The sequence below is a fragment of the Homo sapiens genome, chromosome 6 (assembly GCF_000001405.40).
Source record: "Homo sapiens chromosome 6, GRCh38.p14 Primary Assembly".
Lineage (NCBI taxonomy): Eukaryota > Metazoa > Chordata > Mammalia > Primates > Hominidae > Homo > Homo sapiens.
In genome coordinates, this window is record NC_000006.12 from 169909036 (window position 1) to 169926213 (window position 17178).

The window sequence follows — 17178 nt, forward strand, 5'->3', positions numbered from 1 at the left end:
CCTCTGAGGATAGGACAGGACTGGCACCCCCATGCCTGCCTGCCTGCCTGAGCCCCGCTGGGTCCCACACCAGGGACCCACGCCTGGACTTGGTGCCATGATCTCATTGCTTTAAAAAATGTTTATCACATTTGTGTATTTGCTGAACAACATGTCGTTGTTTTGGTTGGTTTTCAGCTTTGAAAAATGGTATCACACTACCTGTTCTCGTCCAGAGCTTGTCACATTTCATGAGTCACCGATTTAACTCCTCATGGCTGTAGTTTGTTCATCTTCACCACTGTGTACTACTCCACGATGGACCACATCACAGCTCCCTACTTCCTCCTCCTGCCAGTGGACTCTGACGTTGTTCCCAGGACTTTGCCATTGCAAACGGCACTGGAGTCACCTGTTGTTGATTTTCTGCCTGATCATCTGTCTTTTTCTTATTTTGTTTTTTTTTTTAAAATTTTTAATACTTTTATGATGGGCATATTTATACATATTCAAAAGGAAAGAAAACATCACAGTGAATCCCTGGACCAGAGCTGGCTGCGCAATCACCTGCATGTGGACCCTTGTTTTGTCTGTTCCTCTGTCCACTTACCCCTCCTGCCGGGATTATTTTGAACCAATGAATTTTTAATATATTCTGGATGTTAATATTTTGTTATGTGGTTGCAAACAGCAGCTAGTTCATGTCTAATCCTTTTCATCTTTTGCCGCACAGGAGTTCTCAATTTTAATGTCGTTCCACTTATCCATCTTTTTGATGATTAGCATTTTTTGTGTGTGTTTAAGAAATAATTTCCCTTCCTAAACTCAGATGTTTTTCTCATTCTAAAATTCAAAAGGTTTTTCACATTTAAGTCGTGACTTACGTGGAGTTGATTAATGTGTAAGGCGTAAGGATGTGATCTCATTGGACCTTTTCACATGAGCCCTCCCCAGCCGGCAGCATCACACTTCCACTGGCAAAGGGTCTGTGCACGCACACGCGGGGCTGCTTTTGGACTCTGCCTTGTTCCCCTGGTCAGTTTGCTCATTGCTGGGCCGATGTCATGCTGCCTTACCTTCATAATAAGTTTTGACAGGAATTACACTTTTTGGGAGTTTCTTAGATATGTCTGGCACGTTGTTCTTCCATACAGATTGTAGAATTATTTTTTCTAATTTCATGAAAACCCCTGTTAGGATTATGATTACAACTGCACCAAATCCAGAGGCCAATTTAAGGAAAACAGTCACCTGCATCAGGTTGAGCTTCTCTGTGTCTCTGGCTATAAACACGAGCTCTCTCTCCATTTGCTTAGGTTTCCTGTTATGTCTTTTGACAAAATTTTATAATTTTCTGCGTTAGGTCTTATGCAACTTTCTAAGGATTTATTTCTGGGTCACATAGTTTTTGTTGCCGTTATAAATTTTTGTTTGTGTGTTTGTTTGAGAAGGAGTCTTGCTCTGTCGCCTAGGCTGAAGTGCAATGGCGTGATCTTGGCTCACTGCAACCTCAGCTTCTCAGGTTCAAGGGATTCTCCTGCCTCAGCCTCCCGAGTAGCTGGGATTACAGGTGTGTGCCACCACGCCTGGCTAATTTTCAACATAGATGGGCTTTCACCATGTTGGCCAGCCTGGTCTTGAACTCCTGACCTCAGGTGATCCACCCGCCTTGGCCTCCCAAAGGGCTGGGATTACAAGCGTGAGCCACCACACCCAGCCATAAATTGTATTTTTTTTAAAGTCATGTTTTCTAAGTCTTGTTGCTGCTGTATGTGTGCAATTTATTTTTATACATTGATCTTAGAGCAGGCACCTTGTAGACTATGTATTTATAATAACTTTTCTGAGGTCTTTAGTTTTACATAGGCAATCATATTGTCTGCAAGCAATGAATGTTTGCTTCTTCCTTTTCGATTCTTAAGGCTTGTATCTTAAACATAATGTGCGTGCTGGGTGATTTTGAATACAAATGGTGATAGTAGAAATCCTTGTCTTTTTCCTGACTCCAAAGCAGATGCTTTTAAATTCTGCACAACACCGATTGACTTTGAGATCCATTCCTGTGTTCAGACGCTTGAAGGATGTCTAGGATCTCCTAAATGCTGGGGAAGGGCAGAGGGGAGACGGAATTAAGGGGAGGTCACTCAGGTTGGTTCGTTCCGGGCCTGCCTTTTGCTGGGCAGGGAGAAGGAGGTCCCATGCTCTCACTTGAGTTGGTTTCCTGATCAATTTCAGAAATTTCCTCCATTTTAGGGCAAAAGAAACAGAAGGGCGGGAGAAAATCGTAGGCACTGCTTCTCTGGAACATTCCGTAGTTGGTCACTTCCTTAGTTGATGCCGAGAAGTTTGTGGACAAGTGAGGAGCTTGGAAAGGGCTCCCAAGAGGCCGGCAAGGCTGTGGAGAAGCAGGGTGGGACAAGAGGCTCTTGGCGGCAGGAAAGTTTCAGGCACAGCCCCCCTCAGCCTGGCCCCAGAGTCAGCTGGTCAGGCTCGCTAGGGGAGGGAGATCTCCACGCTCTTGTCCACCCAAACACTGGCCGCAGGGACACTGGCCTGGGGGTCCTAAGTTCCCGACGCTGCTGATGTGGGCAGCACACGGCTGCTGAGGTGCAGCCCAGGCCAGGTGGCACGAGCAGGGTGCTGGCATCTGGAGATGGGCCGGTCTCAGCGGGGCTTGCTGTGGCCACAGTGCCGTCAGGTTTCTTCCCGTGAGAACTCACTGCAGACTCACAGATTTGAACACATTTGTAGGCCTGGGCGGGGGGCTCTGCAGGTTTGCTATTCCTGCAACCGTCTTGGTGATATGGGAGTGCTGGGCAGAGGAGGGAGTGGCCCCTGGCCACCCCCACGGACCTAGGTGAGGACAGGCACTCTGGCCTTCCTGCTCAAATGTTGCACTTTCCAAGACCACCCTGGCCCCCTACACCCCCATCCTGAGCCTGTGAAAACCAAGACCCTAGTGGGCAGACACAGAGAAGCAGCTGGACGTCGTGAGGAACCCGTCGGTGGAAGAAGACACAAGCGGTGGGTCGTCGAGAGCACGCGGGCAGAAGAGCACGCTGCCAGGCACCAGCAGGCCATCGACTGTGGAATGACGCGGAGTTCGGCCTGAGAGGTCGGAGGAGCGTCAGCGGCCGGACTCCAGGGAAAACCACCTCCCTTCTGGCTCCCCCATCTGCTGAGAGCTACGTCTACTCAATAAAACCCTACACTCATTCTCCAAGCCCACGTGTGATCCGATTCTTCTGGTACACCAGGGCAAGAAACTCCAGGATACGGAAAGCCCTCTGTCCTTGTGATAAGGCCAGGGTCTAATTGAGGTCGTTAACACAAGCCGCCCATAGACAGAAAGCTAACAGAGCACCCTGGAACACACGCCCACTGGGGCTACCCCTGTGAACATTCCCCCCTGGACACTGCCGTGGAGTCGGAGCCCCAAGCCTGCCCATCTGTCTGCTCCCCTTGAGGTTTGCGCAGTGGGACACTGAAGAAGCGAGCCACTCCCCCATCGCACATCTGTGAAGGGGACGAGGGAACCTTTCCCGTTTCATTGGGAATCTTTGACCTGACAGGATGTTCCAGGCTCATGTGGAGCATTTTCTACCCTGGACCTGGAATTAGCCACTTTCTGGAGTCCTGGCTTCTTTTCGTGGAAAGGAAGTTTAGGTTCCAACGCAGGCTCTAGGAATGTGTGTTCTTAATAGGGTGGCCTTATTTCTAGCTTCTTTCAACAGATAGACCTGAGAAATGCATTTTCAAATTCAAGACTTAACATACTGTATCTTCTGTTTCTTCTTTCCGTGCCCAAAATGCTGCTTCCCCATGACGCAACATAATTACTCATGCTCTCTCTTCCCTTATGTGTGCAATCGTCCTAGAATAAAACACCAGAACCAACAATGTGATTCCCACAGCAGGTTAAGGGTTTTTCACCTCTTCTTGATCTTATGCTATGCATGTTCCACTGGGTAATTTCTATGTTCTGAAGTCACTTGAGTTTGTCGCTGTGTGGTTGTGTGAGTCGATGCAGGCTTTTGGGGAAGGAATCCGGTAGAATCGACTGAAATTGAAAACACACTCGTCACTTCAGCAGCTTCTCTCCAGGAGTCTGCACTGCACTGCATTCTGCAGGGGAGAACATGGGTGCATGAGGAAAGATGCACGTGGCCTGGCAGACAGATGGGTGTTTACCGCACTATCTGCCCTCCCCTCAGAGACTAAGCCAAGTGGTGGCTGACTGGTTGTGGCTCATCTGTGGATGGTTCTGTGGCTGTTTCAGACACCATGCATCTGTACCAGCTCCTTGGAACCATTTTCTTGAGTGAGGAAAGGAAAAGAGGCAGTAAAAATTATGTGGTGGTGAGATCCTGTATCTGAAACAGTGACATGATTGCCTCATGTATGAGCACAGATAATTGCACAGGATTCACTGGAGTGGGAGACGCTCGGAAGGACACATGCCTTGTGGTTTATATCTGGGGTGGGGGAGAGGAGGGGAAGGGAGGGGCAGGAAGCAGCTGGCCAAAAAAGCCTTTTATATTGTATTATTTTTTATTTTTTGTTTTTTTTTGTGGGTTAACAGGCATTTTCTTTTTTAAAAATTTTAAGTTTGGGGGTACATGTGCAGGATGTGCAGGCTTGTTACATAGGTAAACATGTGCCATGATGGGTTGCTGCATAGATCATCTCATCACCTAGGTATCAAGCCCAGCATCCATTAGCGATTCTTCCTGATGCTCTCCTTTCCCCTCCCCCACCCCCCACAGTCTCCAGTGTGTGTTGTTCCCTGCCATGTGACCCTGTGTTCTCATCATTCAGCTCCCCCTTATAAGTGAGAACATGCAGTATTTGGTTTTCTGTTCCTGTGTTAGTTTGCTGAGGATGATGACTTCCAGCTCCATCCATGTCCCTGCAAAGGACAGGATCTCCTTCCTTTTTATGGCTGCATAGTATTCCATGGTGTACGTGTAGCATGTTTTCTTTATCTAGTCTATCATTGAAGGGCATTTAGGTTGATTCCGTGTCTTTGCTATTGTAAATAGTGCTGCAATGAACATAGCACGCATGTATCTCTATAATAGAATGATTTATATTCCTTTGGATATATACCCAGTAATGAGGTTGCTGGGTCGAATGGCATTTCTGTCTTTAGGTTTTTGAGGAATTGCCGCACTGTCTTCCACAATGGTTGAACTAGTGTACACTCCCACCAACAGTGTAAAAGTGTTCCTTTTTCTCCCCAACCTTGCCAGTATGTTATGTTTTGACTTTTTAGTAATAGCCATTCTGACTGGCATGAGATGTTATCTCATTGTGGTTCTGATTTGCATTTCTGTAATGATCAATGATGTTGAGCTTTTCTTCATATGTTTGTTGGCTGCATGTATATTTTTTAAAGAAGAGTCTGTTCATGTCCTTTGCCCACTCAAAAAGGCTTTTAGAAAAGACTGGCCCTGAGAAAAACTTCACATGTGATCCCATCCCATTGATGTAATAATTGGTGTGTGCAGATGTATAAAATGACAGTCACCAACATTTTAACTGTGGGCACTGCAGGGTTCTGGGTTTTTAGTGATTTTTCTTTCTTTAAAGGAAGGTTGGAATTTTTTTTTTTTTGAGATGGAGTCTTGCTCTGTCGCGCAGGCTGGAGTGCTGTGGTGTGATCTCTGCTCACTGCAACCTCCACCTCCCAGGTTCAAGCAATTCTCTGCCTTAGCCTCCTGAGTAACTGGGATTACAGGCACTCACCACCATGCCCTGCTGATTTTTTTGTATTTTTCGTAGAGATGGAGTTTCACTATCTTGGCCAGGCTGGTCTTGAACTCCTTCGTGATCCACCCGCCTCAGCCTCCCAAAGTGCTGGGATTACAGGCATGAGCCACTGTGCCTGGCTGGGCGGTTGGAATTTTTATACCAAAAATGTGCTTTAAAAATTACTTATTAGGAAAAGAGCAATACGGCTATTTTACTGTGGGGAAAAACAAGACCTGCAATGAGATGAGGTCTGCGGGCTGCTCGGCCGGCCTGTCCTGGACACGCCTCGTAGCAGGGAATCAGGGGCAGGTAGGCAGTGACATGAGGTACTGTGGCCCCAGCTCTGCTCTGTGGGGGGTCACGATGGAGAGCTTCAGGCATTGGTGCGGCTTGGTTAGCAGGGCTCAGGCCAAAATGTTTCAGAAACGGTGTCTCAAGTTATATAAGAGCAACTGTGTGCCAGGACCAGCCTGGGACAATGCCCGCTCTTGCTGGTGTCTGGACATTCTTTGCCCTTCCCAGGGAGGACCCAGATCCCTGTTCCTCTGGCATCTCGCCTGCCTGGCTTAGGAAGAGGGCAGAGCATTGTCAGGTTTTCCTGTCTTCTCGGCCTTTGAGAAAAACTACTCTTCAGTGGGAAGTGTTTTCCTAGGCTTTATTTGGCGGCGTGCTGGGGAACTTTTAAATTACTGCCTTCCTTTACCGTCACGTAATTCTTGTATTAATGCTTCTTGTGCAAAAAGAAAGGGAAGCTGCTACCGTGCTTTATTAGGGCTTTCCAGGTGGTCCAGGTTTTTAAAATCCCATTTCCATAGATTAACTTATGAGTAATGAAAACAACCACTGTGCACATAATAAAATTGATGATTATTTAATGCAGATGATTAAAAAATGCCCACTTTGATCACCACTGAGCTCAGTGGAATAAGGAGAAATGTGAATCTTTCTGAGGTGTTAGTATTTATTTCCAAGCCACAACGAGTGCCACTGCTGTGTTCTCAATAGTGTGCAGTGCTACATCTTGATCAGTTTTCCAAAATGAACACGTTTGTGAAACACCCCATCAGTCGTGCGCGTGGTTCCATCTGGTGCCCTCAGCAACCCTGTTGGTTAAAGAGTTGAAGTTCAGAGAGATTAAATGACACCTCTAAAGATGAACAGTCAACAAAGAACTGAGCTGAAATCAGGGTTAACTGTTTTAAGTAAATATCCGGTGCTTTCCCCACAGGAATGGGTGGCTTTTCACTTAATCAACCAAATGGCCTTGGTTTGAGCCCATCTTAATGGCTGTGAACTGTATGGAAAATGGATGTTGTGGAATTCAGTTAGCCCCACCTTCCTTCCTGGCCCCTCCTGCTGTGGCCGAATTCTGTTAATTGCAACTAAATTTTGTTCTCCAAGTGCCGGCCATGAACAGCCTTGTCTTAAAAGCAAGGCCAAGATGGCACATCGCCAGCGGTCAGCGGCAGCATTTATAGGTGTCGTCCTGCAACGGGCTTGCTGGTCACGCTGGCGCTGTGTAACACGCACGCTCACCTTGCACCGTCTGTCATGAAATCCTGGCGCTATCACATGCTCCTTCCTTGCCTTACATGTGCGCATTTATGCTGAGTTTGGAAAGGAGCTGCCATTTGTTCCAGCAGGAGTCAGCCAGGTCAATCTCTGGGAGGCCCAGATAAAGCCGTTTGCCTGGCGCATGGAGGGCTGGAGACAAACAGCCCTCGGAAAGATAATGGGTTTGCCTGACACTGGGCCTGTGAATCATAACAAGATCCAAGGACTGGAGCAAGTCCAGGAATTGGCAACATCACTCGTTCATCACCACACTTCAAAGCTCAGAGTGCAGACTACCTGAAGTTAAATTAATCAACTCTTAACTCACCAAAAATCACCTCCTTTTACTTACTCTTCAAAATAGAGGAAAGAAAAATTTTATAAAAACAAATGATAAGCACAAAACTCAGGTTTTAAACTACCTCTTCTGAGACAGAAACAGCAAAGGAAGAAGTGAAAGGTGCCCACCCTCCATGGGTAGCCCACATTTCATTGCTGGTGATATGGTGGGGATCCTACTTAGCCTGACAACCTGACATACTCTCTGTGCTTAGGAATTCATAGTGTGGTATTTTAGATTCCAAATCACAATCACTGGTGAGGACATTTAGAGAAGTCCCTGAGGTTACAGCAAAAGAGGCAAAACCCAATGTGGATCAGGAGCCGTACATGTGCCTGTGTATAGGCATGTGTGTGTGCCTTTGCATATACACATGTATGCATGTGTTTGCTCGTGTGTGCGCCTGTGTGTATGCATGTGTACATGTGTGTTTCCATGGGTATTTGTGTGCATGTGGCTGCACACTTGTGTGCCTGTGTGTGTGCATGGGTACATGTGTGTTTGCATGGGTATTTGTGTGCATGTGCCTGCATACGTGTGTGCCTGTGTGTGTGCATGGGTACATGTGTGTTTGCATGGGCATTTGGTGTGCATGTGTATGTATGTTTGCATGCATGCACACACATGCATAAGGGCATGCATACACATGCCTGCACACATGTGTGCCTGTATGAGTGCCTGTGTGCATGTGACTGTGCTTATGGGGACATGTGTTTGCCTGTGCAGGTGTGACAACGTGTGTTTTATGTGCATGTGTTTTGCATGCCTGTGTGCACATATGTGCATGTTTGTATTTAGGTGCACATGTGTTTTGTGTGCATGTGTGGGCATATGTGCATTGTGCACATGACTATGTGCCTATGGGCACGAGTGTTTGCATGTGCACATATGTGCATGCCTGTGTGCACATATGTGCATATATTTGTGTGTACATGTGTGCACAGGTTTGCCTGTGCCCATGTGCATCTGTGTGTTATGTATTTGCATGTTCATGTGTGCAAGTGTATTTGCATGTGTGCATGGTGGGTGCATATGTACATGTATGTGCATGCACATGTGTCCCTGAAAGTGGACTATATTCAAGCTGCTCTTACATAGGCCAGTAGAGGTTATCCTGGCTTCTGGGCCAGGGCAAGTCAAACAGCTTTGATGACCACAAGCTGCCCCTCCCCTGCCAGGGCCAGAACAGATTAAACCCAGAGCTCATGATGCCAATCTGTGTTCAGTTGCAGGTTGGTATTATAGGCAAGCAGCACTTAAATAACCTAAATCGTCAGAAATTACAAAATAAATGTTCTGTGCCTGGTAACGGTGAGCAATTTATCTGACATTTGATTCCAGTTTGCCATTTACAAGGTAATTTCACAGGTCTCCTCTGTTGTCCCAATCAGACTGGGAGTAGAGCTCCATGAAGCAGGAGGCTCAAATCACTCGAGAGAGACCAAGGACCCCAAGGAAACAACCTGTCCTCCTGCAGGAAGCTGACCTGGTGTGACCTCTGTGTGACCAGTGACCCGAGCCCTGTGGTCTATGGGGTAACATCTGCCTGACCAGGCTCTCTGAGCCCTGTGGTCTGTGGGGTGTCATCTGCCTGACCAGGCTGTCCAGAGGGTTCCAGAAGAACCCTGACCTTGAAGACTGCAGCTCCCTGTTCCGGCTGGCAGGTGACGGAGCGATGGTGCAGACACCCATGCGTGCTCTTGGATGTTTAATGGAAACATAGACCGGGACAGGCCAGGGGCACAGAGGGGAGAAAGCGCAGTCTGTGTCCTGGACGGTGGCCAGGAGGCAGAGACAGGAACGCTGATGCAGATCATAGCGTGTGTCATTGAAACACACAGCTGTGCCTGCTAGCCCAAGACACAGGAGGGTCTGAGTCAGTCAAAGTGAGGAGGTCAGGGCTGGAATCCCAGAGGAGAGCATTCTCGTTCCGAGATTTTAGGAAAAAGTGGAGTTAACAGCCAGAGAAATGTTGAGGTCTAGGTGGGTTGGAGGGCTTCTAGACTCACAATGGGGTGTGTGGCGTGAGAGTATGAGGTCATAGCCTGTTAGGGAAGCCACGTGGCAGCCAATGACGAAGCGTGTGTGCAGGCATGTGTGTGTGCGTGTGTGTAGGTGTGTGCAGGCACGTGTGTGTGCATGTGTGTACATGTGTGCAGGCAGGTGTGTGTACGTGTGTGTGCAGTCACATGTGTATACATGTGTGCAGGCACGTGTGTGTGCGTGTGTGTACGTGTGTGCAGGCAGGTGTGTGTGTGTGTGTGCAGTCACATGTGTGTATACATGTGTGCAGGCACGTGTGCGTGTGTTTGCGTGTGTGCAGGCACGTGTATGTGTATATATGTGTGCAGGCATGTGTATGTGTATATATGTGTGCAGGCACGTGTGTGTGTGTGCGTGTGTGCAGGCACGTGTGTGTACGTGTGCATGTGTGCATGTGTGTGCATGTGTGCAGGCATGTATGTGTATACGTGTGTGCAGGCGTGTGTGTAAGTGTGTGTGTATAGCAATCTGTAGTCCATGAGTAGATATCTTGCGCAAGTAGAAATATTGACCAGGCCTAGGGAGTAAACGGCTGTAAGACAAGGGCTCTTTCTGTGTCTGCTGCCTCTGGTGCTCATCACATTGTGGCTGTCCGACATGTGTTTGTGCGTACACACAGTGCGTATGCATTCCACAGCAGCCGGGAGTCCTCCCTGAGCAGACGATTCTAAGGCACCACTTCCCTCCGCACCCACCGTTTCATGGACTCGCCTTTGGAACAGCCCAGAGGGCCGCGGGACCAGGGTGTGCTGATGGGGCCTCTCTCACTTGGGCTGCTCAGCTCCTTTCTCATGCGTCTGTCACACGTGCCGCGTGTGATGCCATATTGAATAGATGGGCTCTATTTTTGTCCTCCTTTCTAATCGTGGGCTCTTCATCTTAAGAAATCGTTTCGGCCGGGCACCATGGCTCACGGCTGTAATCCCAGCACTTTGGGAGGCCGAGGCCAGCTGATCATGAGGTCAGGAGATCGAGACCATCCTGGCTAACACGGTGAAACTCCGTCTCTACCAAAAAATACAAAAAATTAACCGCGCGTGGTGGCAGGTGCCTGTAGTCCCAGCTACTCGGGGGGCTGAGGCAGGAGAATGGCGTGAACCCGGGAGGCGGAGCTTGCAGCGAGCCGAGATCGTGCCACTGCACTCCAGCCTGGGGGACAGAGCAGGATTCTGTCTCAAAAAAACAAGAAAAAAAAAAGAAATGGTTTCTTACCTCTCTGAATCTCCTTCCGCCCAAGGCAGCAGTGCCTGGAAGAGAGGGCAATGCCAGCATTCTGTATTTGTTTTGAACTGAACTGCATCATTTCCTGGTGTAAGAAGAGAATGAATTTCGTATTTTAAATCTCTAAGTTTGGCTTTGGTCATTAAACACTGAACACAGGGAAGCATTTTGTTGTTACTATCGGAATTCCTCGATGACCAAGATGAGAATGGTGCCAACAAAGTAGCTTTAAAAATCGTTGACTTTTTATTTTTACACAAGATTTAGGATGGAACTATTTTGACATAAAGTCAAGCTAGAATGTCACAATATGTGGACCAACCTGAAGCTAGATCCCTCTTAAGATAACTTAATCCAGTGTGGATTGAATGAAACTCTTATTTTTTTTTCTATCAGCTACTCTTTTCCCAGCTTTTGCTACCAGAGTTGGTGGCTGTCATCAAAACCTTCATCCTGGTTGACACCAGGATGTGCATGTGGATGAACATTGAAAACTCTACCAAGCCCTGGGAGGTTCTATCCACATAACCCATGAAGGCAAATGCTATATGCAAAGGTTTGTGATCACGTGTCCTGCCTTTGAATCGATGGACTTTTGCAGGAATTTGTTGGCAGGTAGCTCTGTCCAGTATTTTCAGAAGGACATGAACCTGTACCAAGGTCTGTCAAACCTGGTCAAAGAGGAGATCAATTCCACGTTGTAAATTGTCCTTTGCACATGAATAGAGGTTGTGTGGCTGGAGCCTGTCAGCCTGAGTGGTCTTCAGATTGTCAGCAATGCCAGACAAGGCCACGTCTTTCTCATCTCTGCATACTCTGCACATGGCAGGTGACAGATAAATGTGTGTGCGCTTTGGGAGGGCCACGTAATGTGGGGAGGGGAACTGTTTGCATCATACGAACACTTACAGCTCCTGTGGCTTTGGGGATTTGATGAACATGTGTTCAGAGCATGTGTGTGCATGTAGACCCGCTCCAGGCCTGCACTACCTGCCCCCTGCCCCCGCCATACACGTACTTTAGAAATGCAGACATGGGGTGTGGCTTCAGCATTTACAACTGTCCCAAGCAGGGAGGCATCGGGTGGTAGTGTCTGGTGTGTGGGGCTTACCTTTCCTCCTGACCCTGGACAGACTCACAGATAAGAGCATCTAATTTCATGAGTCACAGGTCCCCTAGCTAGGACTTTCTATTGCAATGTCAAATTTATAGCCCTGCTAAAGACCCCTTCTCCTGGGAACTTCCTCAATCTGAGAGAAAAGGGAACGAGTAAACCGTTTGTGCCCAGAAAGCACCTGGAAGCGCAGGGATGCTGCTGGCCGTGAGTGGCAGTGACAACATGGCCGTCAGTGGCAGTGACAACGTGGCCGTCAGCGGCAGTGACAACGTGGCCGTCAGCAACAGTGATAATGTGGCCATAAGTGTCAGTGATAACGTGGCCATTAGTGGCAGTGAGAACATGGCTGTGAGCGGCAGTGACAACGTGGCCGTCAGCGGCAGCAATAACATGGCTGTGAGTGGCAGTGATGACACGGCTGTGAGTGGCAGTGATGACGTGGCCGTCAGCAGCAGTGATGATGTGGCTGTGAGCAGCAGTGATGACGTGGCTGTGAGCGGCAGTGATGACATGGCTGTTTGCTGAGAGGCTTCTCGCGTGGGCTCCCTTGACCCCAGGGTTAGGCCCTGTGCAGCCGGCACTTCCTACGAAATTAAGCATCCCATGAAAGTGTGGGGAAAGCCAGCGAGGACGCTGCCATTTGCCGATGGGCAATTGATGGTGAATTCATCTGCAGCTCACAGGCGGGTCTTATTAGTTCATTATTTCAGTCCTGACGGCTCTGAAGAAGCCACCACGTTCTGGCTGTGTGATTTTGGTTGAGCTATGATAAAATAAGGATTTTAGAGTTTCCCTCCGAGGCTTGGTAAGAGAGTCAAACCGGGAAATGAATATGAAGTGTGTGGCCAAGCATCTGGTGAGTGACAGACAGGGTGGAGGAGGGGCTGGCGGTGGCTTTCTCCGCTGAAACCACCACTGCAGGAGCAGCCCTGAGAGGAGGGGCTCTTGCAAGCCCCGGAACCCCGGAGGCCTTTGTGGCTTTCCAAGCCATTCTTGGTGGCAGAGCGAGGCTGGCACACATGCTGCTGGGCCCCAGGCACGCTCTGAGCACCTCCCGGGCACCGTCTCAGGAGAGCCCTGTGAAGGAGGAAGGCCCACAGTGCCAGGCTGCTGGTGGGGAGACTGAGGTTGAGGAGCTCACGCCCTGTGGGCTGGTGTCCGGCTTAGGAGGTGGGAGTGGCAGCCTTCAGGGAGGTGGATGGGCCCCAAGAGAAGAGCCCCACAGAGGCTTCCCCATGCCCCCCTGGAAGCAGGACGGGCCCAGGCGGGGTCCTCTGATCCACTCTGAGTCCTGGCCTGGCAGAGGCACGAGTGGGTCCCTCAGGGAGAGTGATACTGATGCCACAGGGGCTGTGGGGGGAGGGAAAGGCTCGGATCAGGGCCCAGGAAGTTTGTTTTGTGGCTAACTTTTACACATTTGTTTAATCTGTCACCCAGGGTCATTGGTCAGGCTGCTCTCGGAGTCCATGTTCCCAGCGACGGGCTGCCTGGGAGGAGGAGGAAGGCAGCCTCCAGGGACTCAGAGAGAGGAGTGCCATGGACAGGAGCCCTCGGGTGCAGGAGCGTGGCCGGGTCCGCTCCCAGGACACGGGCGCTCACCCGCAGCGCTGCTCCGGAGGTCCGGAAATTAGTCTCATCCCAGGGCAGTCCTCTGCTCAGGAAGCCGCATCACGGGCCTGGCTCCTCCAGAGAGAGGGGGGTCCCAGACACGGCACAGCCCCTTTGTTGGCCGGGATTTGATCCTGCTCAGTTAACCCGGAGGCAGGAAGTCATTCGTCTAACAACTAGAGGCCTCTGATTGCTCAGAGTCAGTTTAAGTTTTAAGACAACTCTGACACAAGTTTTACGATATCTTAATTTCTCTGAAAACATGGACACTTGCTTTCAAATGTTTTAAGAGAGAGCCAGTACTGACTCTGTTGTTATTGATGTTTCGCACCATTCTCTCTGCACAAACCGCTGCAATGGTGCATGACTGGGTTCTCCAGTTTCCCTGTGAAGTGGACTCAACACGGGGTGCTCACAGAACAGCCTGAGTGCGGAGCCTTCCGTGTCCTCAGTGTGCAGGCCCAGGGGCTTGCGGGTGCCTCCCCAACACCTCATCACACAACGTTTTTTATGCACTCACTTTAAAAGAGTCATTCCAGGACAATGATATTAGCTGTCATAGAAACAACTACTTTTCCTTCACGTACTCATATAGCAATGTTTTACACAAAGAAAGTACTTGGTGCTTTCTATGGGTCTAACTGGTAATGATTGATTTACATAATTGCAACAGGCATAGACCGTCTGGGACATGAGTCTTGGTCAGCACACAGCCTTACTGAGGGGAGCAGGGGTACATGGACACTAGAGGAACGCCCCTAAGTGGTGAAGATTCCAGAATACCATTGACACCAGGTCCTTGGATCACAGAGGAACCAAAGAGAACATGTAATGAAGAAAACTGGGTAAGGAGAGGCCAAGTAAGAGAGCTTTACATGTCACCACCATCACCATCGTCATCATCACATTCACTGTCATCACTATCTTTGTCATCACCATTGCCATCCCCATCATTATCACCATCACCATCATTATCACCATCACCATCATCATCATCACATTCACTGTCATCACCATCACCACCGCCATCACCATCATCACCACATTCACTGTCATCACTATCTTTGTCATCACCATTGCCATCACCATCATTATCACCATCACTCATCATCATCATCACATTTGCTGTTATCGCCATCACCACCACCATCACCATCATCACCACATTCACTGTCATCACTATCTTTGTCATCACCATCACCATCATCACCATCACCATCACCGTCATCATGATCACCACATTTACTGTCATCAGTATCTTTGTCATCACCATCACCATCATCATCCCATTCATCACTGTCTTTGTCATCACCATCATCACCATCACCATCATCCTCATCACATTCACTGTCATCACTATCATTATCACCATCACCATCATCACATTCACTGTCATCACCATCATCATCCCATTCATCACTGTCTTTGTCATCACCATCACCATCATCGTCATCACCACATTCACTGTCATCACTATCTTTGTCACCACCATTAACACTATCATTATCACCATCACCATCATCACATTCACTGTCATTACCATCACCACCACCATCACCATCATCACCACATTCATCACTGTCTTTGGCATCACCATCACCATCATCACCTTCACCATCACCGTCATCATCATCATCACATTCACTGTCATCAGTATCTTTGTCATCACTGTCACCATCATCACATTCATCACTGTCTTTGTCATCACCATCACCATCATCACCACATTCACTGTCATCACTATCTTTGTCATCATCACCACCACCATTACCACCATCACCACTACCATCATCAACATTACCAATGCTAATAACAGTTTTGAGCATTTACATTAGGTTCTGTGTTAAACACATTACATGGAGTATTTTAATTCTTCTGAAACTCTAGAAGATGCCAAAGATCTTGTTTATTGTTTCCATTTCATAGATGATGAAGCCAAAATCTAGAGAAGCCAAGTGACTTTTCCATAGTTGTCATCACCACCATTATCATCACCATCATCATCATTCTCATCACATTCACTGTCATCAATATCTTTGTCATCACTGTCATCACCAGGTGAGAAGCAGGATTGAAGCCAAGCTGTTCTACCATGTGATAGTCTTCCTCCCAAAGTGTTACTGCCACAGTTGTCTAGTTTGAGGAACAGAATCATAAGAAAGTCAGGCACCTTGCTAGCCTAGACCACACAGCTCTAAGGTGTGGGAGCTGGAACTGGAGGGCAGTTTTATCTGACCCCTGCCCACAGTCTTTCTGCTCAGTCTTCCTTTCTCATGCAGCTGTCCCTCATTGGAAAAATTCCTAGGCTCTGAGTTCCCATTGCCCCAAAGACTCTGTCTTGCATCTTAGAGGCCCTCATAAACTCAACCCTTCATTTGCTTTGCTTCAGACCGAAGAGGATCACAGCCCAGGCAGCAGAAGTGCTTTGGGTGACACAAGGGCTCTATGAAAGGAATCGTGGTGATGATGTTGGTGACAACTATTGTTAGAGCTAACTATGACCCTGGCTCTTTATCAAGATGTTTACATATATCATTCCCCAAACTTCCATTCCCTTGAGGTTGATTTTAATTTCACAAGTGAGAAAGTGGAAAGAAAATCCATCCCATAGCAGAGTTGGGATGCAAACCCAGACCTATCTGATTCCAATGCCTGTGGTCTCAGCTGATGGTTCTGCCTTTCTAACTCCAGAGCAGGAGCCACCATTGGTTCCTCCAAGAGGTCCAGGTCTCCTGCATGGGAAGACCCTCATGGAAGGGAGGGAGAGGGTTTGAATCGTGATGCTGATCTCCCAGTGTGAAGGTATCACTTCTTCCCCAGGCATCAGGGCATTTCTCATACCCACCATGTTAGCTCAGTTGGCACAGAACATTTTGTATCTCATTTGTCCAACCCAGAATCTGAGATCTGAGTGTGAAGCCTGAGCCCACCCTGGGCTCTAAGATGCTTGCTGGAAACTGACGCCCTACCCATTCCCCTCGAAGCTGGGTCCTGCTTCTCTTACCCTTCAGCTGCTGCTGTCTGGCATTTGGTAAAGAGACAACAGAGCAATAGACTTTGTGTCACTGCCTCACACACCAAGCACTCGCCACTAATCACTTCTCCGACTGCCTACCCATCAGCTACACAGAACTTCCCCAGCAGCCTGCTGGGACCACACCTGACCTAGCCACATGGGGCACTCCGCTCACACTCCTCAGCACCCTACCCCACCCGGTACTGGCTTCTTTGTGCTTTCACACACATATATGTGTGCATGCACACACATAGTCACACACAATAGCTCACATGCATCTCCTCACATACATTACACTCATATACTCACATACATTAACACACGTACACATTCTCACAGGATAAACAGTCACACATTCATTCACAACCACACACACTCATTTCCACATGTACACACAATTACACCATACAATACATGCACACACATTCACACACTTACACTCACACACTCACACTTTCCCTGTAGCCCATGCCCTCCTGAAGAGAACAACATAACTTGTTCCTCTTCTGCCCCCAGTGACAGGCCCAGTTCCAGGCATATGGAAGG